This window comes from Homo sapiens, chromosome 2 (genome assembly GCF_000001405.40).
Source record: "Homo sapiens chromosome 2, GRCh38.p14 Primary Assembly".
Taxonomy (NCBI): domain Eukaryota; kingdom Metazoa; phylum Chordata; class Mammalia; order Primates; family Hominidae; genus Homo; species Homo sapiens.
In genome coordinates, this window is record NC_000002.12 from 67610941 (window position 1) to 67637089 (window position 26149).

Sequence of the window (26149 nt, forward strand, 5' to 3'; positions counted from 1 at the left end):
CCAAAACAATTCCTGTAGTGTGAGATATAATAAAAACAAATCTAGGGAGGCTTAAGCCCGTGAAGTCTCTCACACTGGCCCATCCTAAATTATTTTGGGTTGCTCAGTCTGCGTACCATTTCTACTTTGTTCCGCTGTCATCTCTAGAGGAAGCTCCATGCATAAGATGGTTTTATTTAATCCCAACTCAATAAAGATAATCAAAAGTGTCAATATTAAGGAAGACACAAGATATGTGTTGGGCTTCCCCTTATATTCTCCTTTGGCAAAATAGGTCACTGGGTTTACCAAGGGAGACAAGAATGTAGTGTTTTCAGTTGAATTTCAGGTTCCTAAAGCTTCAGTGGAAGGATGTGTTCATTTATCAATCTATAAACATGCTCGATGTGAGCATGTAGGGATACCCAACGAATACATCATTTCTAGGTTTTGGATGGATCTCATGCCTCCATTCCCATCATCTCTCTGCTCTATTATCCTCTATAAGAATAATGGCTTTTACTGAGTGCTTCTAGCGTGTCAGGTACTATTGTTAACACTTGGTATAAAAACACTCATTTGATCTTCCAAGTAATCCTTGGCCTTAGGGCTATTACTGTTCCCATTCCCCCACTAAGAAAAGTAAAGTAGAGAGAGGCTGAAGGACTTTCCAAGGTCACATAGCCAGTGAGTCATAGAGCTGGGACTTGAATGCAGTTATTGATTCCAGGATATCGACTACCTCACATAGTTTTTAAGGATTCCTGACACATAGTACCAAATAAATGTTTGCTATTATTTATAATTATTTATTAATTATTATTTATTATACTACTATTACAGGTTGAGTATCTTAATCCAAAAATGTGAAACCTGAAATGCTCCAATTTCTGAAACTTCCTGAGCATTGATATGAAACTCAAAGGAAATGCTCATTGGAGCATTTCAGATTTTGGATTTTCAGATTAGAGATGCTGAACCAGTAAGTATATGTCATGAAAATATTCCAATATCTAAAAATATCCAAAATTTGAAATACTTCTGGTCCCAAGCATTTTGGATAAGCAATATTCAATATGTATTATCCTACTTTTTATCCACTAGGTTTTTACATACTATCTTAAAGATTCTGACATATATTCACCGTAGTCTTTTCTTGGCCTGTCTTTCCAAAATACTTTGGAATTTGACATGATGCAAATATACAATATTTAGTCTAGTTGACAAGTAACCGGCTATAATGGTTAATTTCATATGTCAACTTATGTGGGCCACAGGGCCCAGATATTTGGTCAAACAGAGATACTCTGGATATCTCTGTGAGGGTGTTCTTCTGATGAAATTAACATTTAAACCAGTGGACTTTCAGTAAAGCAGATTGCCACTCACAGATAATGTGAGTGGCCCTCCTCCAATCAGTTGAAGATCTGAATAGAACAAAGACTGACCTCCCTTGAGAAAGAAGGAATTCTGCCAGAAGTTGGCCTTTGGACCTGAGCTGCAACATCAGTTCCTCTCTGGGTTCCCAGCCTGCCAGCCCACCCTGCAGACTGTGGACTCACTAGCTTCACATGATTACATGAGACCAACCTTTACATCTCTCTATATATTTATATATGTCCTATTGGTTCTGTTTCTCTGCAGAACCTTGACCAACACACTCATGAACTGGAATGTCAAATACTGGCCTGGTTCACAGGCAATTTCACCAGCCTACACTAATTTCATCATTCCTCTCCATTCTTCCTGGAACTATGAGAGTTACATAATCCCCCAATTTTTCCCAAAGAGGCAACCCTCTGATGTTTCACTGGTTTGCCCTTACTCCTTTATAAGGATTCAGTTTGCCTGCAAAGAAGACCTTCAGGCCATACTACAAACAAACACAGAAACATCAGCAATGTGACCAGATTGCTCAAGGATACAGCTTGTTCAGGACTATTCTGATCCTCCTGAGAACACGCCCACCCAGCAGGTGAAGAGGGCAGTTCAGCCAGATCTGCTCTCCCCACAGCTGACTGCGGCCCTTCCTGCCACTGAAAACCGACACGTGATGGATTAAATATCATGCCAGAGATTTTATGCCTAATTATTTATATTCCCTAAGGCTAATCTTTAAGAAAACAGTAGAAAATAGCATCAATAGCTTGCAAAAGATAACTCTGACACCATCAAAAGCAAGTGTTGCATTTCACCCCGTTCTGCTTGTTAATCCCCCAGCAAGGACTTTCCTTTCATATATTAAAGACTTCTTATAGGATGGAATAATGTGCTATATTATTAACAGCTGGTGGGTGGTTTAATATAGTCACAGGTGAGTGGATTTCCTCCCTTCCACTTTCTCACTACTGTCACTTTAAAAAAAATCAAAACAAAACAAACAAAAAACTACACCCTCCAGAAAGGACAAGATATAAAACCAATATGTTTGCCTTTCAATTAAAGGCCTCAGGCTCTCAGCTTGAGTGCAACACTCCAACATCAATGAGAAGATTTTCCTAAGAACTGTGAAGTGTGAGACTGTGGTTGAGAGGCTCACATGACTGAGTAATAATTCGTGAGTGTTTCTTACAAGAAGCCTGTTAATGAGCTTTAATATCTCTGACAGCTTAGATGGCTCTGGGGTGAAGCTTGGTCTACAAATTGTCACCTTGGGCATGTATTTTTTCCTGAAATCTTAATCCACCAAGACATAGTTGAAGTTTAACAGTCAAAATGTTCACATGGATTCAAATGTACCTTTTTTTTTTTTCAAGTCCTGGTCGACAGAACTATGAAAATGGTACCATAGATATAGTCCAAACTTTTCTTTTGAATTTCCTCTTGGAAAAATAAAGAGATAAGTAACTCACTTTCAGGAAAAAGAAAATGTTTCTGTTTATTAAAATGCATTTGTGGAGCAAAGGCTACAAATTTACTGAGTGTGATGAACAGATGAGGGAAGTTTTGAGTGAGGAACGCAAATGAGTTCTACAATAAAAATATTATAGTCTTCGATATGATTTAATCTGACTTAATCACTCAGTGTTACATATTGCATAAAATTGAGAATTTTGAGCATTTATAGAGGCACTGCTGATATCTAAGATATTGTTTGGCAATCTCAAATTTTACATACAAATTTCTTTCACCCAAGACCTCGAATTATTCTGTTGACTGCCTCATCATATCAAGACAGAATAATACTGACCTTCATCCTCAGAAGAAAAATGAAGCCAAGTAGCTATGAAAAAAAAATAGATTCCTGGCGTGGTATATGCCCTGGTGTAAGTTCTACCTACATTGTGCCCTCTCTCATGACACACACAAAGGTATTGTTGAGAAAATTAATTGGCCACTCAACTAGTTGTTTGCATCACGTAATTCAAATTAGTTGTTTCTGTCAAGCAAACTCATTGTTTCTGATCTGTTTATGCATCTCCAGAATAATGTAAGCTCCAGGAGGGCATCCATAGTTTCCGGGCTAGTTCCTGGATCATGGTCCTCAGTAAATATTTGCTAAATAAATGCCCATTTATTAAAATATTAAAAAACAAATAGGAACTACACTTAAGTCACAGAGTGGCTATACCTGCTGTCATATTGTAACCAATAAAAAGATTTGAGTATCATCCATTGTCACAGTTCCCAGCTTTGATGATCTACATTGTATTGGTTGATTTATGAGAGCCAGAGTTATACTGTGCACACAGAATCCCAAGGGTACAATTCTTATAGATGACGATGACTAAGGGAATTATGGCCTCTGGAACTAGGCAGTGTGGCAACCCCAGTTGGTTTCACAGGTAATCATCAACAACCCCAAGGAATGATGTATGACCAGTCTTACTTCTAAGCTAAAGAGAATCAAGATGGGTTGTTCTTTGAGTGTGCTTTGAGAATTGAAGGTGCCTTGTGATATTACAAGTCTGAGGATCCCTTCTACAAGTTTCTCTCAGATGGGGATAAAAATCCTGCACAGGCTTCCTCACTGGGGTGCTGTGAATCTCTGGCCTCTATTTGCTTATCTGTGAGCCCAGAAGGGCTAAACCCAGAGACTGCTATGGACCTCTTGCAGTTCTGACATTGTATAAATCTGTAATAGAAAGAATCCTCAGAACTCAGACACATGTTATGATTATCACCCTTAGCATCAAAGACTCAACTCACATAGTGAATGGAATCTTTGTGTCTCTTATTCAACAATTTTTTTTTTCTTGAGACAGAGTCTCCCTCTGTGTCCCACTCTGGGGTACAGTGGTGTGATCTCGGCTCACTGCAACCTCCACCTCTCAGGTTCAAGCCATTCTCCTGCCTCAGCCTCCCTAGTAGCTGGGATTACAGGTGCCTGCCACTGTGCCCAGGTACTTTTTATATTTTTAGTAGAGTCGGCATTTCAACATGTTAGCCAGGCTGGCTCTTGAACTCCTGACTTCATGATCCACCCGCTTTGGCCTCCCAAAGTGCTGGGATTACAAACACTTTGAGGCCTGGCCTCAACAAATATTTAGAGAATATCTATATGCTGGGGAAAATAGTCACTGGGTAAAGGATATATCTAATCATCCCATCATCAATAATTGACTGAAGTGTCAGCATACATTAAGTACTTAGTTTGCACCAGCCACTTTTCATAGATTTTATATATTTTACTAATCCTCTCAATAACCCAATAAGGTAGGTACAGATAAGGAAACTGAGGCACAGAGAGGGTACACCTACCACCAGTAAGTGTAGGAGCTAGGATTCAAATATAGACAGTATGACTCCAAAGCCATTCCTCTTAACCACTATACTATAATAATTAAGAAGAAATTACAAAAGATAACAAAGAAAGTGGAGTTACTCATAGAGTCTTTATTTCCTACATGGAGTTAACTCATAAACTGAAGTCAAGTAATTATCCACATGATCTAAAAGAGGTTTGGTGGCAGGAATAAGGTTAAAAACAACAACAATGACAAAAACCCAAGCCTCCATGTTTTTATATATTAACTTGTGCTAATATGATTATGTTGAATTAAAAAGAACAGTTGAGGAATTTAACCTTGGGTGAGTGTGAGGTGCTTTTGATGTGGGGTCACTTTGAATAACCCAGATGAAGGCCCAAGTCCCACTTCCATGTGTTGAGTGGGAGAACACCACTGAAGATTCTAATGCTCTCAGGCCTTTTCTTCTTCACTCCAACAGTATTGACTTTGTGCACTACAGAGACCAGCACTACTGGCATGCTGCAGCATGTGATTACCACGTTGACTTCCAGAGCCACATCCAGCTGGGAACTCAGAAGGAACTAGGTGTGAATCCTGGCTCTCCTGGAAGAGTGGTTTTGCTAGGTTCCTCAGTCCCACTAACTTCAGGTTTCTTATCAAAGTAATGGGGAGAAAAACACCACCTACCTAATAGGATTGTTATGACAGAATGTAAATGACATGATACACTTAAAGACAACACAAGGCCTTGGCACATAGTAAACACTCAAAAAACTGTTTTCTGTTAGTCTTATGTAATGCCACTCCATAGTATTCGACAGTATTTTCCAATTAGGCTGTACACCAGAAAGCAGGGTTTCTAAGACTCACTTTTCTGTATTTACCTTTGTGCTTAGTATGTATTAGGCTCCATAAAGACATATTGACAGATTGAATGGCAAGTGGGGCAACAGCTGAGATCTAAGTTCTCTATGTACAAAGTCCCAAAACAAAAAAAGACAGCAAATGAGTGGATTACCATTTGGTTTTTTGATCATTCTATTGCTATTCATATGATCAGATTTCTTCTCTTTTATAAATCACAGGAATAACTTCAGGAAGCCTCAGACATCCTCATATAAGGTTAAATATTTAAAACAGAGCTGTGTGGGAGTGTTGAAAATATCCAGACAAACATATGCTGGAAACCTTTTGTAAAGCCCCACCACAGTACAGTGAGCCCAGGATGGCTGCAGCAGTCCCCAGCTGTGCACTCAGGGCATAAACACCCATTTGTCAGGGGCTGTCCATCTTGAGCACAGCTCACAGTCCCCTTCTCAAGAATGAGGTCACCACAGAGCCCACATGGGCAGACAGGCTGCAGAATAAGATATATCTGGGTGCAGATGTGGGAGGAATTGGGACTAACAACAGTAATGGAAACAGGAAATGAGTTACGTCAGCCCAACAGCACAGTTGTTGAAAAAGCAAAACTTAGCCATGTAGTATAATTTTCATGTTTCATAATGTTTATCACCTATCAGCCAACTATACCAATGGGTTGGACTGTCACTATGAAAAAAAAAGAATCCTTCAAAGGTGTCCAGCAGACCCCTTTCCTACCACAGATGGTCTTCTTAAGTTTCTTCCTGTGCTCTGAATCAATATATCACTAGATCTAAAGGGTCATCTCATTCAAATGCTTCAACTGCAAAATCTTACTTTTTTCTCTACTGTTTAATGCCACTATAATGAACTTCGCAGGGCCTTTGAAAGCTAGACAGGCCTCACTGATGTATAAAACAAGAGAGAAAAAAAATGGATTCCTTGGTAATAAAAGAGCAAGCCTCTTCCCTTATGGTACAAACATACATGTATGTTCATAGTATGCACATATTCACAAGCACACATATACATGCCTGAGCACAAACACACACTTATTGTTTCTACTCTTTAAACGTGAAGTTATTTGGGGAAAATTGTCACTGAGTCTCTGGGCTAGGAGAACAGCAAATCATTAATCTCTCAAGATGGTTAGCTTATGCTTGCTGCTGTGATGTTATTGACCTCACCCTCTCAAAGTACATCCAAGGCTGTCTGCTGACCTGAAAACTTTGTTTGAACACTCTGCCACACTATCCTTGACTTCACATAGACCTTTATGTCTTTTTGGCTGCTGATAAAAGTCATGCACAGTTAAGACATACAATCTGACGAAATTACCAGCACCTAGCTCTGCTTAATTCTTAAAAACTGTGTATAATATTATACTCTTCCTAAAAAGCCATTACTTTACTCTATAAAATGTGCCAGCTTGTTTAAAACTTGAGAAGCATCCTACACAAAACTCTTCTTAATTCTGCACTCTCTGAGATCATTCCATTTTCTGAAAGCTTTAAAGTCTATGTGCCATATCACCTATTAGCAAAACATCTTACACTCTTCTCTCATTGTTTCACATATATTAGACTTGTTTTCCTAAGTGAAATGGGCTCAGAAAGAGTTGAAACTTAGGGAAAATGCTTAGAAGGATAGCAATTTTTTCTTAATTTGTTATTTTAAAACAAGAGTGGGAAGGAAGACAAAGCCTACTGAGTTGATTAACTGTTAATTTTTAGAATTAAGTAGAATGTCCCAGATTTCACATTGTCTTTCAAACAGAAAGATATTCATTCTGGAAAGGACAGTACAAACAAGATTATGTAGGAGAAAGTAGTGCCTAAGTTGAGAAATGGAAATATAAGTCTAGGAAGCCAGGAAGAATGAATTTGATCCTGTAGCTCAGAAGAAATTATGCACTCAAGATAAAATTACCAAACTCTTTAGAAAACCACAACGCATAGAGGATATCTTAGCAACAAGAAGACTACACAGTTTGTCTGGCTACAAACTCAATACCGTCCATTATTTAATAATTCATTCATTAACAAATATGTGTCAGGAGCCTACTAGTGTCTGTAAGTACATAGTATATATCTGGAATTGTTTTAGGCACCTCTATGCAAAAAACAAGACAGATAAAATTCCTACTCTGATGGAGCTGACATTCTAGAGGTAGAGACAGAAATTAAACAAATGAACAAATAAACATATAGTGGCAGCTAGTGGTAAGTTCCAGGAGGAAAAATAAAGCAGAGTGAGGAAACAGAATGTGACTATGGAAAGATGAGGGATTGTGTTTTAGATAGAATTATCAAAGATGGACTTTTTAAGGAGGTGATATTTGAGCATAAATTAATTGAGGGAATAGCCAAGCAAGCAAGGACTGAGAGAACATTCCTGGCATAGGAGACAGTAGGTACAAGAGCCTCAAGTAAGGGAGAAGGTTAATGTGTTCAAGAAACAGAAGGAAAGATGATGGTTATATTAATTGGCTTCACTTGAGTCACATTTTTACTATCTATAAATATCCCATACATTGTGTTGTATACCATAGATATATACAATAATTTATTTAAAAAAAAAAAGACCCAGTAACATGGGAGAGGTAGGAAGGGGCCAGATCATGGAGGGGTTTGTGGGCCACAGTACAGAAGCCTGGATTTTGTCAGGGTGAATTGGAGGATCCTAAAATTTTTGAGTAAGGAAGTGTCATAATCTGATTTGCAATTTAAGAAAATTGCTCTGTCTTCTGTTGGAAAACATACTAAATAAGATTCCAGAGAGGAAATTCTGAGACAAGTGAAGAGGCAATTCCATCTGCCCAGGAGAGAGATGGCAGTGACTTGGACTGGGGTGATAGTTGTGGAGGTGGTGATACCATTTGAAAGATGAGTAGATGGGACATAACAATGGATTGCTTAATGAGAAGGAGTCAAGTATGGTATCCAAATGTCAGCCAAAGCAACTGGATGAATCATGGGGCCATTTACTAAGATGGAAAAGATTGGTGGAGTAGCAAAATTGAGAGCAGGGAAGAGAATCAAAAGTTGCATGGGAATGGAGCCTATTAACTATATAGTGCAATTGCTTAAAAAGCTAATAAGATTAACTATATTGATACAAATTTAATAATCCAGATCAAAAAAAAGCACAATACATCCTCTCCTGTACACTATTTGTACTACATCCTAACCCCTCCGTTCAGTACTACACCCTACATTTTAAGAAGGATATTAACAAAGAGAACAGTATTCAGAGGATGGAGTTTAGGAAGGAGGAGGAGCTCACATGACATGAAAAATGCTTGAAGAAATTGAGGACCAGAGAAAAGAAGAGATGTTGCTGAGAAAGATGGGTGCAAAATATGGTAGTTGTCTTCAAAGATTTAAAGAAATGTAACATATCCCATGTGACTACAAAAGGAACTTGGTAGAGACGAGTAGAAGACAGGAGGCCGACTTCAGAAAGAAGGAACTTCTATTAATTAGAAAGGTGTCCCAAAGAGACTGGCCAAGCACTCTTTAGGGGTGTGCATCAAATAACACATTGGATGAGATGATATCCAAGTCCCATCCATCATGGGGGTTCAGTAACTCCAGATGCTAACTCTTTCTAGGTAGAAAACATTTTGATAATTTTTTAAAGTCTCCAAAAGGGCAGATAGTTGAGGATCAAAATATACTTAGCAATTCAATCCTTTTTTACTAGGCATTCAGACCTAGCTAATAGAACCTTTTAAATAGCTGTCAGGTTTTTTTTTTTTTTAATTATTTTGTATTTTGTGTAGGCGTGGGGATGAGGAATCTATTCTCTGCAACAAAAGCCTAGATCAACTCTATCAATCATTAATAATAGACAAAGGATCATGTTAACGAAGGATAACACAGAACTCTAAGAAGTCACTTGGTGAATCTCTTCTGATCCTAAAGAGGACTGGATGGAGGAACCACCTGGTGGAGTGAGAAGAGAACAGACATTCATCTTCTTGCCAGCAACCTTGCCAGTGACCTTGAACAACTGCATTTTAAATGATTGTTTTAAGAATAAAATGAGACAGTCCAGGTAAAACACCAAGCAGAGTGTCTAGACCTTGATAAAATGGTGGCTATTATTTTATTGCTATAATTATTCAGAAATGTTAAATCATTTCTATATATTGAGCTGTCTGATCTTTGGTTTAAGAATCTCCAGGAAGATGGTGTAGGGCCTTTCCAGGGTCTTCCTTTCATAATGTTTAGAGCATGGTTCTGAGGCTCCCTGATGTATCATCTATAAAATGAGAGGGTAGGATGACCTTTAGATTCTTCCAGCTCTTATAGAAAATGTTACTGTGAGATTTACCACCACAGAGAATATTCCAAAAAATGTGCTAAAGCTCTAAAATAGAAATTAATAAGAAATTTTAGTAAAAGTGGTTGACTAGGAGATGACCATGTGGAAATCAATGACTCTTCTTTATACTAGTTAGAAAATATCATGAAAAAATATGACATTTATAAAAGCTAAATCCATAAAATACTTTACAATAATTTTAGCAGGATATGCAAGAGACCTATATAAAGAAAACTTCAAATTGCTCCTGAAAAATATAAACTAATTATTGGATAATTGGAGACATAATGTTCTTAGGTGGCAAAACTAAATGTAATCATATTAATTACTGACAAATAGACTTGTTTGTTTAAAGTATATTTAATAAAATTTCCAATAGCATTTTTTCTGTCCGTTAGCATGGAAGAAAAAGTTTCAAAAGTTTATATGAAAGAATATATATGGAAGAATAGTTAAATACATTTTGAAAGAAAATAGAAGTGAGAAAAGACTGGAACAATACCATAGGCTTTATATTTCACCACATGCGCAAACTAAGTTCTCAGTGTACTTAAGAGCTAAATGTAAAGTCTAAGCCTTAAAAACTAGGAAAAAAAGTGGGGAAAGCGGGGGAAGGAAGAAGAGGAGAATGACCATTTGTCATCTTTCTAGTGAGGGAAAGACTTACAAAAAGAAAGAAAGTGAAAAAGCCCATGAGAATATTGATTATTTAAGCACATAAAAATTTATATTACTTGTCAATTTAAAATAATATAAACTAAATTAAAATGCATATAAAATAGAATAATATTATCAAGAATATGACAGAGATTTAGTATTCAATATATTAAAAAATCACATACAGCTTGTCTTATTCCAGGTGTCTAAGAAGCAAACAATAAGACAGAATTAAAAGTACAAGAATTTTAGTAGGCATATTAGGGCTCCCATAACAAAATACCACAGCTAGGTGACTTAAATGACAGAAATTTATTGTCTCACAGATGTGGAGGCTAGCAGTTGGAAATCAAGGTGTTAGCCAAGTTGGTGCCTCCTGGGCATGAGGGAGAATCTGTTCCATGCCTTCCTCTGGCTTCTGGTGGTAATTCATTGGCTTGTATATGGTGTTCTTCCTGTGTCCTCACTTTGTCTTTTCTTTGTAAGCATCGGTCTCTTCACCTGGTGTTCTTGACTATATATGCGGACATCTATCATCCTTGGATTAAGGGACCATCCTACTGCAGTATGACCTCATTTCAACTAATTGCATCTGCAACAACCTGATTTTCAAATAAGGATACATTCTGAGGTACTGGGGTAGGATTTCAATATATGAATTTTGAGGGAACATAATTCAACTCATAACCTTAGGGGAAATGCCCACATAAAAGGAAGTAAGAAGGAAGACAAGCAGACTGTGAGAGCCACCGGAGCTGCTGGTAGAGGGTGCAGACTGTCTTACAGTCTAAGAGGTGTCAGAAAGTCAGAGAGAAATCCTTGAGACAAAGTCAGCTGACAAAAGTGTTCTATCTTCTAAGAATGGGTCTGCTTCAGTATCCCCACTACCCTCAGTCTTTGGTGAGGGGCAGTGCATTGGTGGCGTGGCTTGGGCATAAATAGGGCAGTGGATTTCAAAGTGCTGCAGTTGGAACCCTCAGTCAATGCCATTTCTGTAGTCAACAGTCTAGAAGCTGTTTCCTCTTGGCTGACACAATACCATAAAAGATAAATGGATAGACGGTGATTTACATTAAAGGAAATATTGAAAGTTCAGCTTTACCAGAGTGTAATTGCAAATGCACAATCACAAAAGTGCAGTATAAGGCAACATATGATTTTTTTGGTTTATAAAATTACCAAAGTAAGAATTCCTTAAAATGGAGATATTCAATGCTGAGGAGGATGAAATCAACAAGCTGTTATTAATGCAAATTGGTACAACCATACTGGAATGCAATTTGGCAAAAATGTGTCTTATAAAATAACTGTATGCTTTGACCTAATAATTGGTTACTTAGGAATATATCCTAGGAAATAGTCAGAAATGCATACAAAGATTTATACACAAAGATAATCATTACAGCATTTATAGTCATAAAAAAATAGATGCAACCAAAAAGAACAGTTTAGTCACAAGGTAATATAAAGGAAATATTAATTCATTTACTTAATAGGATAAGATAAAGCTATCAAAAATCATACTTTAGAAGAGATTATAATGTTACATGGAAACATGATAAATTAATAAAGATAATTATTTTATTTTTTTTCTTTATTCCTTTTTTTTTTTTTTTGAGACAGAGTCTCGCTCTGTCGCCCAGGCTGGAGTGCAGTGGCGTGATCTCAGCTCACTGAAAGCTCTGCCTCCTGGGTTCATGCCATTCTCCTGCCTCAGCCTCCCGAGTAGCTGGGACTACAGGCGCCCACCACCACGCCTGGCTAATTTTTTGTATTTTTAGTAGAGACGGGGTTTCACCATGTTAGCCAGGGTGGTCTCGATCTCCTGACCTCGTGATCCACCCCCCTCGGCCTCCCAAAGTGCTGGGATTACAGGCATGAGCCACGCTGCCCAGCCCTTTATTTCTTCTTAAAAAAATGGGATACATGTGCAACGTGCAGGTTTGTTACATAGGTATATGTCTCCCATGGTAGTTTGCTGCACCTATTGACCTGTTCTCTAAGTTCCCTCCCCTCAACCGTCACCCACAGCAGGCCCTGGTGTGTGTTGTTTCCCTCTCTGTGTCCATGTGTTCTCAATGTTCAACTCCCACTTATGAGTGAGAACATACAGTGTTTGGTTTTCTGTGCCTGTGTTAGTTGGCTGAGGATGATGGCTTCCAGCTTCATCCATGTCCCTGCAAAGGACATGATCTCATTCCTTTTTATGGCTGCATAGTATTCCATGGTGTATATGTACCACATTTTCTTTATCTAGTCTATCATTGATGGGCATATGGGTTGGTTCCATGTCTTTGCTATTGTAAATAGTGCTGCAACAAACATACGTGTGCATGTGTCTTTAGTGTAGAATGATTTATTTTCCTTTGGTTACATACCCAGTAATGGGATTGCTGAGTCAAATGGTATGTCTAGTTCTAAATCCTTGAGGTATTGCCATACTGTCTTCCAAAATGGTTGAACTAATTTACATTCCCACCAATAGTGTAAAAATGTTCCTATTTTTCCACAGCCTTACCAGCATCTATTGTTTCCTGACTTAATCACCATTCTGACTGGCGTGAGATGGTATCTCATTGTGGTTTTGATTTGCATTTCTCTGATGATCAGTGATGTTGAGCTTTTTTTCATATGTTTGTTGGCCATGTAAATGTCTTCTTTTGAGAAGTGTCTGTTCATATCCTTTTCCCACTTTTTGATAGGGTTGTTTTTTTTCTTGTAAATATGTTTACGCTCCTTGTAAATTCTGGATATTAGACCTTTGTCAGATGCATACATTGCAAAAAATTTCTCCCATTCTGTGGGTTGCCTGGTCACTCTGATGATACTTTCTTTTGCTGTGCAGAAGCTCTCTAATTAGACCCCATTTGTCAATTTTGGCTTTTGTTGCAATTGCTTTTGGTGTTTTTGTCATGAGATCTTTGCCCATGCTTATGTCCTGATGGGTATTGCCTATGTTTTCTTCTAGGGTTTTTATGGTTTGGGGTTTTACGTTTAAGTCTTTAATCCATCTGGAATTAATTTTTGTATAAAGTGTAAGGAAGGCGTCCAGTTTCAGTTTTCTGCATATGGCTAGCCAGTTTTCCCAGCACAATTTACTGAATAGGAGATCCTTTCCCCATTGCTTTTTTTTAAATCAGATTTGTCAAAGATCAGATGGTTGTAGATGTGTGGTGTTATTTCTAAGGTCTCTGTTCTGCTCCATTGGTCTTTATGTCTGTTTTGGTAACAGTACCTTGCTGTTTGGGTTACTGTAGCCTTGTAGCATAGTTTGAAGTCAGGTAGTGTGATGCCTCCAGCTTTGTTCCTTTTCCTTAGGCTTGTCTTGGATATATGGGGTCTTCTTTGATTCCATATGAAATTTAAGATTTTTTTCCTAATTCTGTGAAGAATGTCAATGGTAGTTTGATGGGAATAGCATGAAATCTATAAATTACTTTGGGCAGTATGGCCATTTTCACAATATCGATTCTTCCTATCCATGAGGATGGAATGTTGTTCCATTTGCCTGTGTCCTCTCTTATTTCCTTGAGCAGTGGTTTGTAGTTCTCCTTGAAGAGGTCTTTCACATCCCTTGTTAGCTGTATTCCTAGGTATTTTATTCTCTTTGTAGCAATTGTGAATGGGAGTTCATTCATGATTTGGCTCTCTGCTTGCCTATTGTTGGTGTGAAGGAATGTTTGTGATTTTTGCACACTGATTTTGTATCCTGAGACTTTGCTGAAGTTGCTTATCAGTTTAAGGAGTTTTGAGTCTGACATGATGGGGTTTTCTAAATATAAAATCATGTCATCTGCAAACAGAGACAATTTGACTTCCTCTCTTCTATTTGAATACACTTTCTTTCTCTTGCCTCATTGCCCTGGCCAGAACTTCCAATAGTATGTTGAAATAGCCTCATTTCTCTTTCAGAGTAAACTTACAACAACAAAGCCATACCCACCATGGAGAAATAGCTTGTCTGCTTGGCTTAGTGACCTTCCTTTCTAGTGCTCAGTTAGCCATTGCTACAGTTTTAATAACACAGCTTGTCAGAGTCCACAGTTCAAAGAAGATGTTGTAGTTTGCAAATTAGGCAAATGGACAGTGAAATTCTGTTTTTTCCTTCCTTTCTCCAAACCAAAAAGAAGATCATTAGAAACAGATACAAGATCTTTCTTGCAAAACATCTAGTCTAATTTTCAGCACAAATTGTTCAGAGAACTTTTCATGCATCTGACATGGAAGAACTTAATTGATATTCAATTTTGGAGAAGAGAGAATAGAAAGAGAAGAAAAAATTTACCATCCCATGAACAATAGCTTGTGAACAAGCTTTAAGGCTCTTGTACTGTTATGAGGGCTTGCCTCTGAAATTCCACTTTCAAATGCCTCCCAACTACATTACTCACACGATTTCTGACCACATCCCTCTAACTCACTCCAGTTTGTCAAGACGTCTCCACTTTTAAGTACTCCCCTATCCCTGGAGTGTCATTTCATTGTTTCTTGGCTTGAAAATAGTACCTTAGTTTGTCCCATCAACCTTTTCTCAGGGAGGCAGTCAGCACATTTTAGCAGACTTTACAGTATTAAAGGAAAAGAAAAAAAAGCCCTTCCTGATGTCTGTTCTGAATTTGTTTGTGTTCTATTCTGTGTATATCCCTCCTTTGTTCTGTCCTCTGCCTCAGACAGAAAGCAATCATCCTGCCTGAAATATATCTATAGCCAAGGCTCCATGTAAATTACGGAGAGAGATGACAAATTTCATGGCCTGGTTATGGTAAAAATGGCAAATTTCACAGTTTGTCATGGATTAATAGAAAGGGAAAACAAACACAAATGAAGTCATCCCAGTTGTTAGAAATAATTCCAGAGTGACTATTTGATGAATTTAAACAATGGGATGGAATGCAGGCCGCTCAACATGCAACCCATGACTTTAAATTTAATAAAGGGCCTTGTAGTTTTATTATACTCAAAACATCCTCAAGATGAAGGTTGAATCCAAACACGCTTTGCACTTCAGCCTGAGCCCATAAGGAGCAAGCCCCAAATTCCAAAAAACCTGAGTTTCCCCTCCTCACAGAAAATAATAAAGCATCCGTGAAATGTTTTCATGATGAACCATGGAGTGCAGATTTTTAGGGTCATTGGTGACATCATGATAGATGAGGAGATTTATCTACATGTTTGGAAATGTTACACAGCTCAGTCGAACCACCTGGAAAATATCTTTAAAAGATTAAGGAACTGAACTCATCTTCATAGTTCATTCTCTTTAGCGCTAGTTTCAACTTTATTCCCTCTCTTTGCTCATTCTCAGTTACTACTGCAACCTTGTGAAAAATGTCTTGACCAGGGCTTCATTCACCACGGGATTCTGAGTAAGGTCTCATGAAAGAATTGGATAATCCATCATCATCTCTTTAAACTTAGATTCTGTAGCCAGTGCTTTAGGCCTGGCATTCCTGTGGCTTTGGTAACCGTCCCCACATTGTCTAAAATCCTTCAAAAGAATCTCTCATTGTTGCAGAGCTTGAGTAGTGTTTTTGCACTGTACTTCATGTCTGCATCTATATTTTGCTTATCATCCATGTATTCCTTGAGTATTTGTATAGCATTCATGCCTGAATGAAACAAATTCTGAAATTATGGCAAAATTATATATAGACAGATAATTCATTGGAACTGGTATTTTCACACTGCCTGGTATTTAATTGTCAATCTAATCAAGTTGAACATAAAAATTTAGCCTGAATAATTCTTTTAATCACTTTAGATTCTTCTACATAAATGAAGACCCCTAACACGAATGTAGATATTAGAATACATGTAGGTAAATAGAGGTAGGAAGATAAAATAAATGGCGGCATAGATGCCTTGAAGCACTAAAGATTTAGGAACTGTCTAAAACTCTTGGGTGGAATAAGCACAGGGCATTCTGAGGGGTAGACTGGGCCATTCTAATTCCCTAACAAATAAGGCATAGTTCACTTTTCATCTTTGCATCTTAATAGACTATTATATTAGAAGCAATCACATTTGGTTTATTGTCAGCTTAAAAATCATGACTAACTTATCTGGAAATTGAAAATAAGTGGCAAAGTGTAGTCCAATAATGCTGACTCTTTTTTTAGGCTAGTGGGAGATTTTCCAGTATGTGGAAAGGAAGACAGCAAGTTGACAATTGCTTCACCTTCAATCCCTTCAGTGCTTACGTAACTGTCTGCCCCACACTCTCATCTTGTTTCTATGTCACCTTGTAATGTCCCTGTCTGCATGTCTTACTCACACAAGTAGACTGAAAGTTCCTTTAGGGAGGGGTCTTCATTCTCTTTTAATTCATCCTGGAAACACTGAGAACAATTCAGGGCCATAAGTTCTAGCTGGCTTGAGAGACACTCCTAAAGCCCACATCAAGGCCATCAGCTGCACAGCTTGCTAATTTAACTGTAGTCATTTGCAACAGGTCTTCCTAAATCATTGCTAAGGACTCAAGTCTCCAGAGCTCCATGGAACAACCCCAATTAATATTCCCAGCACTGCCATAGAAAACAGTTTCATATGCAAATATAGCCACTCAGCTTTCTGATCATAGAAGCTCTGCATTAAGGAAAGGCTGCTGGAACATCTGGTGTCCCATCAAGTTTCCAATATCACTGTCAGTAAACAGTGAGCTCAACTTAGAGTGCAAGGATAAAGGCCCTAGGCTCTGGCTGAGCCCCCGTTCCATATTGCTGATGGAATCCGAAGAGTACAGCCATTTGCTCTAAGTCTGTGACAAATGATATAAATTCTGGCAGATAAGGCAGAACTTAAATCTGAATGTGTTTTAAGGCCACAGAGTTTTGTAAGGTTAGTGGTACCTGGAAAAGGATGCAGCATAGATTCTAATTCCTTACACCATCTTCCATTGTCTCCTCATTGCTTGTCTTTCCCAAAACATTGTGTTAATCCTCATTCCCTGAAAAGAAGACTGCGATTTTCTTCCCGGGAGAGGGATCAAAGAAGTGGGAGGAATACCATGGAGCCAGTTTAGAGGAAGAACTATTTTTCCACAAATCAGAGGCTGAGAAAAACTAAGAGTTGAATGAAAAGCGAAAAACTAAGGAACGCAAAGCATTCCCTGAAGCAGTGGCTAAAACCAAGTGAACCAGAGCATGAAAGGAAAATAGATACCCAGAACCAGAAGCTGAAACCCTGATGCATCAAAAGCGACAGATCTAAAACCAATGGGCTATGATCTAAACAATGGCCACTTCCATTTGCTTGCTGTCATAAACCAGTTTAAAACAGATGCTTAAAGTCACATACTATAAAGAACAAAGAAAAAAATGTGCATTGTCTCTTCTTTATGTTTCTTTCATCTCATAGAAAAAATGACCATGGCTCTTAAACTCGCCCATTGGAAAAATGAGACCCAATTTGTGTATTCTTAAAGTGGGAGGCTGGCTTCCTTGACCTCTCTTCTTGACTCTGTCCAGTACACTGAACTGGCTCTGGGTCTTTTTTCACCTACAACAGTGGAACTCTCATTTTGGGTTTCATGGCTGCATGAGAGGCAGGGCTTGATCTTATTAGGCTGGGTACAGGTGGAAGTCGTAAAGATGTGGTTGATACCCTCAAATAGAGGTTATTAAAACTGGGAAAATAGCCAGAGGTCTCTTACACAGTTTCCTCCTCCTCTGCCTGATACCTATCAGGTGCATCTCATCTCACATTGCTCTACAGCTAATGGACCTTCCTAATGGACCTGAAACATCTCCAAGTATTCTGTTGCCAGAGCAATGGTAGCAATCAGAGAATGGTTTACTGGTTAGCAACCTAAGCTCTGAGGTTAAATTAAGTCTACTAATGCAGACCTTGGTTGCCCCTTACTAGCTATGGAGCTGTGATCAAACTACTTAATCTCTTTAAGGCTCAGATTTTCAATTTGGTAAATGGATATTCTAAAGGTGTATGTATTAGACAGGAAACAAAGTCTGGCTGCGATGATGATGATGATACCTCAGGTTCCTAATCCAACCACTGTTCATTTCTTACTGGTATAGTTCAGCCAGCTCTGCTCCAGGGCACTCAGAGATTCAGGCTGTAACTTGTAAACAGTTCTGATTTGCAGCCTTCTACTGAATCCTCTGCATCTGACCAGGAAAAGAGAAAGATAAGAGAGCAAAGAATCTTGTGGCAGATTTTAGAGGCCAGGATCTATTTATCCTCATTGACCAGAACCAGTCCCATGGCTCCCCTGTGGTTCGATGGGGCTAGGTGCCCAGGAAGAGGAGGGGAAGCCCAGAGATTGTTGAGCACCATAATGATTGGCCCTAGTCACTGTGAAGGCACTTCATCTGGCCTAGCCATTGCCCAGGGTTTGTGGAACTGGGCATGGAGGGTTTTGAATACGCAAAACCAGGATGTGAGCCAATGGACCAAGGGCCATAGTGGAGTTTAGTAGGAAACTTCTTTGTAGATGGAGAGCCAACAAGAAATTAATAAAGCCATTTTAGTGGGCATGGTCACCACCATCCTCTGCTTCTCTGGAAAACTTGAGTGCAGGAAACCCTCCTCAGTCCAATCCTAAGTAAAATGATGTGAAGCCTTGGATGTTTTTGTAAAGCCACTTTTTAAAAGGCTACAGAGATTACTATAAGTTGGGCCAGATGCAGTGGCTCACACCTGTAATTCCAGCACTTTGCAAGGCCAAGGTGGGTGGAGCACTTGAGGTCAGGAGTTCTAGACCAGCCTGGGCAATACAGTGAGAACCCCCCACTCCAACATCTCTTAAAAAAAAGGGTATTTAATTATCCAGGCATGGTGACATGCACCTGTCATCCTAGCTACTTGGGAGGCTGAGGTGGAAGAATAGCTTGAACTCCTGGGTTCTCCAGCCTAAGCAACAGAGTGAGACCCTGTCTTAACAACAACAACAAAAAGTTAGGATAGTAAGGAGAGACTTCAAAGCAAGTAAAGACTTTGATCTAAATTTTCAAGTAGGCAAAGAACTAGACAATTGATACAGTTTAAGAAGTTCATATGCTGTTACCTACATTTGCCCCATAGTTACTGAGGAAGACAATAGAAATTAAAGAGGAAGTATCATTAAAATTTTTGGTCTAAGGATGAAGATAATATTGATGAAAACAGAAAATATTACCTTCTATGTAAAACAATTTAAATATTTGAGAGGCAAATTTTTTTTTCAAATGATAGCCCTTTCAGCTGTGGATTCTGAACTTTACTGTACAGATTTCATGTTTGCAGGTAAAGGAAGAGTTGGCCTGTGGAAAATTGCCTAAGAGCATCCCTCATCTGCTTACAGAACTGTCTAAGGGTCTCATGATATAGGTGCCTTCTGTTTTAACTGAACAAAGAAAAGGGGAAGAAAGCAAATAGTGTGAGAAGGACTAAATCTAGGGGAAAATAAATACTCAGAAAGTAGTCAGTAGTTTTTCTATAATTTCTTCTTGGGTACAAGAAGAAAGTCAAGGGCTTTACCACCAAGTTTAGACAAAATCTGGTAGCTTGAGAACTTTTGACACCAAAGCATCAGTATTCTGTTACCTAAGGATACTATCTGTATCTTATTAAAAGGAAATGGAATAGAATTAGTTTATGCACCTACGGATCTTCATCATTCAAGTGACTCCTTCTCAATTATTGAAGGTTCTATAGATGAATGAAAATGTAATTCTCATAAGTAGCACCTGATAACAGGAGAAATATGGCAGGAGCTGATATGTACATGTTACCTACTTGTTATACTTATTATGTTTTACTTCAATTAACTTTCCTTTTATGTTAAAACATGATTATGTAATGGAATTTAATTAACTTTTATAGGTCTATTACAACAAATAATGTATCCTCTTTTTAATGCATTTCTGAGAGCAAAAGCATTTACCTTTCCTTGTGATATAAGTTAACCAAAACAGAAACAACTTATATTCTCTAAAACCATTTCTACCTTCTGAAAATTCTAATTCTTGTAATGTTTCTTCCTATGCTGCTTATTTATCTTTTGTTTTTCAGCCCCACAGCCTGACCTTCTCTATTCTGCTCTTTATTGCTGGGGCTGGAAGCCTGCAGACTACATTTCCCAAGGCCCCTTGCCAGCTAGGTTCTTGTTACTTTCTACCAATTGGAGAAACTGTTTGAAGACTTTTGTTCCATTCTTTAATGGAACAAAAGACAGAAGCATTGTTTTGTTTTGTTTTCTTTGCTTCTGATTTCCACAGCACTGTGGTTGCTAAGAGTTTCTGGTGGCAGCAGGGGAGCTTCAGCCTCTAGAGTCCCAGAATGGGCAGGCTCTCATGCAGAGCTCTGGTTATAGCTGAGGCAGCACCTTGTTGGCAGTTTTAGCAGCAGCAGGTTTAGGCTCCTGGGCTCCAGTCCAAGGGCACCAGAAGCTTCCTTTTTTTCCCCATTAATTCAAGTTCAAAACTTTGAGGTTATTTATCAGCGTTCTCCCTCTGTCACAGCTTGTCAGTGATCTTTTTCTTCCTGTTATGTCTTATACACATATTTTCTTTCTTTTCCATCCTAAGTTACCCTGCCTTGGTCATTCTCCAATAGTTCATGGGCCCTTGTAATATTTTCCCAGACACTGAAACTTGGGAGAGACCTGGGTTTAAATTTGAGTTCTTCCACTAACTTGCTGTGTGGCTCAAAGCAAGTTATTTAACTTCTTCAAGGCTCAGCATTTTTATCTACATTAATAGTAAAGAAAAAATGCTAACGGTTATTGAACATCTACAACATGCTTGGGGTTTTGCAAACACTCTACCTGCATTCTTTATTTTAATACTTACAACAGTCCCATGAAGTGTGTATTATTATTATTCTCATTTTTACGACTGAGAAAACTGAAGTTTAGAAGAGGTAAGTAAGTGGTTTACTTAAGGTCTCTCTGCCAGTAAATGAAGGAGATGAGAATTTAACTCAGGTTTCTCTGGCTTCAAATACCATTCTCTTAAGCTTATTTCAGTGAGGATCATAATATAGATAATGTAAGGTTATTGTGATGATTAAATGAAATATATAAAGCATTTATCACAGGTTCAACACATAATAAGCATTAGTGAATGGTAGATCTTATATCTGAAAAGTGCTATAATAGTCTTTATGTCTTATATAGTATTACATGTATGCATCAACGGCCCAACATATTCTCCTTTGGTCATGTTAACCCAAATAATTGGATGTTTTCCCCTACAGAAACATATAAGAGAGTTAATGGAAAAAAAGGATTTGTTTCATAGTCATTTTTGCTGGAACACATAGGTTCTGTAGACAAATTCACACTAGCATTAAATATACAGTTATATTTCCTTACGTGGTTTTTTAATGCTTAAATATATCCTTTTTTTTCTTGGTGTAAGCACAGTCATAGTTGACACTTAACGAAACTTAGATTTGAATCTTTAACGTGAGCATTTGACATTAATAGGGATAATCAAAACAAGTGGAAATGTCAGTGCCATGAAGCAGGTGAAGGTCCAGGGACAGCAGGGAGCAGCACAACTGAAGAGAAAAGGGGAACAATCTTAAAGACAGATTCCACCCAAGCTTAGGGACAGAACACCTATTCAGCTAATTCTGTGTTTCACAATAGAGTCAATATGTTTTTTCAGGTAGTTTATCTTTTTTCTTTGCTGGAATGCTGGATTCACTTGTTTTAATAAGAACATTTTATACCCAAAGGTCAATTAATAACTAGCAACCCAAATAAAGCTTCTTGGTATCTTCTGTCATCAATTCTTAAAACTTCTGGACCATCACCTCTACTCAAAGGATTCTGTTCATTTTTAAAGCAACTTGCCTCCCATTTCCTGTCATTGGTGGATAATTGGAATTAGCTCCTCAGGAGTCATCATGACGCAGTATAAAGAGGAGTGGAGACCAGGAGTCTGATGGTGACGCTGATGCTAAATACCTCTGGGAATTCTCCTGGCCTTTATCTCATTCATCCAGTGAGACCCACAGTTTCATCCTGTCCAGAAATTTTATGATTCTAATTAAGAATGATTTCTTCATTCTGATTTATTGCAATGAATTAAAGCACACTCAAAGCCTAAATGTGGCTGCATTCCCAAATGCTGCCTCTGGAAACCCTAATCTTAAAAATTTTGCAAAACATTTAGTTGACCAAATACTCTGAGCAACTACAATGCAGTGTGTCATTGCTTAACACTCTGGAGGATACAGAGTGCAGTACCAACCCTCATGGATTTTTTAGTTTAGTTGATGAGGCAAGACACAGACACCAAAAGAATATGCAAATATAAGGCAGAATAAGATCTGAATCGATACCAAAAGTGCTAAGCAAATAATATGGTAGAGAACAATTCCTCACAAAGAAAAGAGCATGGAACCATTTGCAGGTGAGTTCAAATGCAAGTTTAAGCAAAGTAGAGAGTGTGATAGAAGGCCAAGCAGATGAGCCAGAAAGGGAGTTTGGCCAGATTGTGAAAACCCTTGAATGTCTGTATAAGGAAACTTGACTTCATTCACCGTGCAATGGGGAACCACTGTTAAGTTTTGAATAAGGATCATTTCTAAAGTATCATAAAGGATTTCAAAGTTGTATTTGTCACAACAAAGATGTTTCATGCTTCTGAATGAACTGCTCAACTTTCAGAATTTGATTTTTATCTCATTTAAATTGAATGGATTGGACAGGTTCTCATAATCCCCAAAAGCTTTATTTCAAATATACAAGTCATTCTTGCAGATATTCCTTTAAGTGACTTTTGCTTCAATTAAGACACTTTCAGCTTAATGTGACTACAGATCAAAATTAGTAGCTAGTGGCAAAGTAAAAGCATTAAAGAATTCCAGTCTTTAGAGCTTAACCTTTCTTCTCATTTTTTTTAGCAGCTATCATTTAATAAGAAGCTACTGAGCCATCCCACACCTCTCTACATGTGTTGCTTATTCATCTTTGCAGTTTTACAATAAAGCTAAAAATACTTTCTTCATCCCAAAAAGACAATTAATTATATTTTAGGGGATGACTGTCCCAACCACTTGGGTGGCTGATAGATATTTGTTTTGCAGTATTGAAAAGAACCAAACAAAAAACTTCTAGCATTTGCATCCAACAAGGGTTGGAGAGAGAAGAACTCTCTATCTATTAGCATGAAACTTTGCTGTTTTCTCTACTGAATTAACTCCAATCATTTTCAAGAAAGAACATTTCAATACATTTTTCTGACAGGTAGGAAATTAACTACATACCAGAAGCTATTGAATTCAACTTTAACAGTATCAATAAACATTTCTGATTAAATTATGAAATTGATTTTATAATTTTGACCATTATGTTTTTACCTCAATATCATCATATGACAGTAAATGTAGTTACTGCTTCCTTATTGATCTCAGACATGGCACTCCAAAGTACTCATTTGACTATATTACAAAATCAAACTTGATTTCCTGTAGTATTGCAGTAACTTCAGGTCATAATCTAGTCTAAAGAATCAAAATAGATGAATTATTCCGTTATTAAAAGATATATTTTTCCTTGGAGGAAAAGGAACACTTCGGTCAAGACTTCCCTAATGGTTGTGTTATAGGATATTTCTCCATGTGGAATTACTTTGTGTGGGTCTCACATAAATATACCATCACCTCCCAGCTTATGTGTTATCAATCATGTTTCTGGTGAATAACATAAACACCACTTGAAGAGAAAGAAATGTTTATCCTTCATATATAGGAATTCAACAAAAATGCTGTGTTTCCATGACTTTAAAACCTATGTCTTGGTCTCAGCAGCCCAACTCACAAAAATACTACTAATATATTGAGCCATTGCATTTCCCAGAAGAGCAATGTGTCTCATGTGTCTTTAACTAGATAAATTTTAAAAGCAGACCAAAAGATGAGGCACTGAGTATCTGGCAGAGCTAATACAAAACTGTGAATTCTCATCCTAGAGATCCAGCCTCCCTCAGTAGGCTCATACAAAGGCATTTCATGCTTGTCAAAACTTTTTCACAAAAGAATTGAGTTTCAAGTCATACAATGCAGGCACATGAGGAAAATCTCCCAAATTGCCTAGTTTACTACCTCATTAGGTAGCTAAGAAGACCAAGGCCTAGTGTCATTAAGGGACTCATTGAAGGAGACATTGCTGGTTCATAACAGTACTAGAACTAGACCCCAAGTTTCTTGTCTCACAGCCCAACTCCACTTTTTCATGTCAGGTATATCCTGATTTATAATTTTTGAAATAGCCTATGAGGTGAGAGTTAAAACATTAACCCCAAGACAAATTACATCTACCCCAGAACCAAACATATTAGCCCACACTAGAGAAGCTCTAAGGCTGGGATTTTTCTTTTTTTAAATCAGATCCTTAGCTCCATGGAAATGGAAATGCTGTTTTAGGACTATTGGAAATCAAAAAGAAGTCTTTCATGCATTTCACAAAGGACCAAAGTATTTATTCACAGTGGCTCAAGATATCAAAAAAGATAAATATGCCTTTTCTGTGAGAATCTTTAAGTTTCTGCTATAGCTCTGAGTCTGGAGGGTCAGATAAGATCCACTCCCAGTAACTCGTCATTTAATGTTAGGTATATCTCCAAATGCTATCCTTCCCCCCTCCCTCCACCCCACAACAGGCCCCGGTGTGTGATGTTCCCCTTCCTGTGTCCATGTGTTCTCATTGTTCAATTCCCACCTATGAGTGAGAACATGCGGTGTTTGGTTTTTTGTCCTTGCGATAGTTTGCTGAGAATGATGGTTTCCAGCTTCATCCATGCCCCTACAAAGGACATGAACTCATCACTTTTTATGGCTGCATAGTATTCCATGGTGTATACGTGCCACATACATAGCACATATATACATATGTAACTAGCCTGTATGTTGTGCCCATGTACCCTAAAACTTAAAGTATAATAAAAATAAATAAATAAATACATACATACATACATACATACATACAAAAAAAAAGATCGACTCCCTCTTTACTTCTCTTCATTCTTGCATTGGCATTTGCTAAATATATCTTCTTGGAAAGGGTTCTGTTATATGGTCAACATTTAAAACCAATGGGAAGAAAAACATCAAATAGTTGACTTCTAACCAATAGGGCTGCAGAATCGTTTAATCAGAAGTAACCATAAATTTCATCTCCTCTAGCCTTCCCCAAAGCAGGAATATCCTGGGTACCATCCAAGAAGATGCCCCTGATCTTTCTCAGCTTTGGGGCCAGGGGACCTTCTCTTTTCTAGATAGGTCATTCGATTTATGAATACTAGTGAACAATCAAAGCTTTTCCTTATACAGTGCTAAAACTGATTTACTGATTGATTCAATGCCTCCAGAAAAAAAAGTTTATCAAAACTAGCACTTTAATAGAAGTAAATCTAGCCCTAGATATTAGTCTCCTATTTTATTGTAAGAATATCTTCCTGCTTTAGTTTGTGCAAGATAAGCAACTCTCTGAAAGGAAAGATACTTTATGAAGCTTGGAAGAGACAAAACAACAGGAATCTAATATTTTTGAATTTATGAGAGTGAATATTGGGTTTCTACAGAGCAAGAGACTCCGAAACGGCATGGTGGTGACAGGGCATAGTAATACCTGTTGCTCCAAGACAATCATAGACGCTACTCTCACTAGGATGATACCTATT

At 38.0% G+C, this 26149-nt stretch overlaps 1 long non-coding RNA gene across 1 annotated transcript in view, besides 1 other annotated feature; it reads right to left on the reverse strand.

Moving 5' to 3' along the window:
• LOC105374786 (uncharacterized) overlaps window positions 1-26149 on the reverse strand; it is a 98219-nt gene that overhangs the window by 58129 nt on the left and 13941 nt on the right. The window lies entirely within an intron of this gene.
• Window positions 6642-6811: an enhancer, noted in NCBI's record as "experimental_58914 CRE fragment used in MPRA reporter constructs". NCBI's record gives its function as "activates a minimal promoter by MPRAs in K562 erythroleukemia cells, with activity observed for both the introgressed and non-introgressed 2:67844799 variant alleles {active_cell/tissue: K562}" and the evidence as "EXISTENCE:reporter gene assay evidence [ECO:0000049][PMID:34662402]".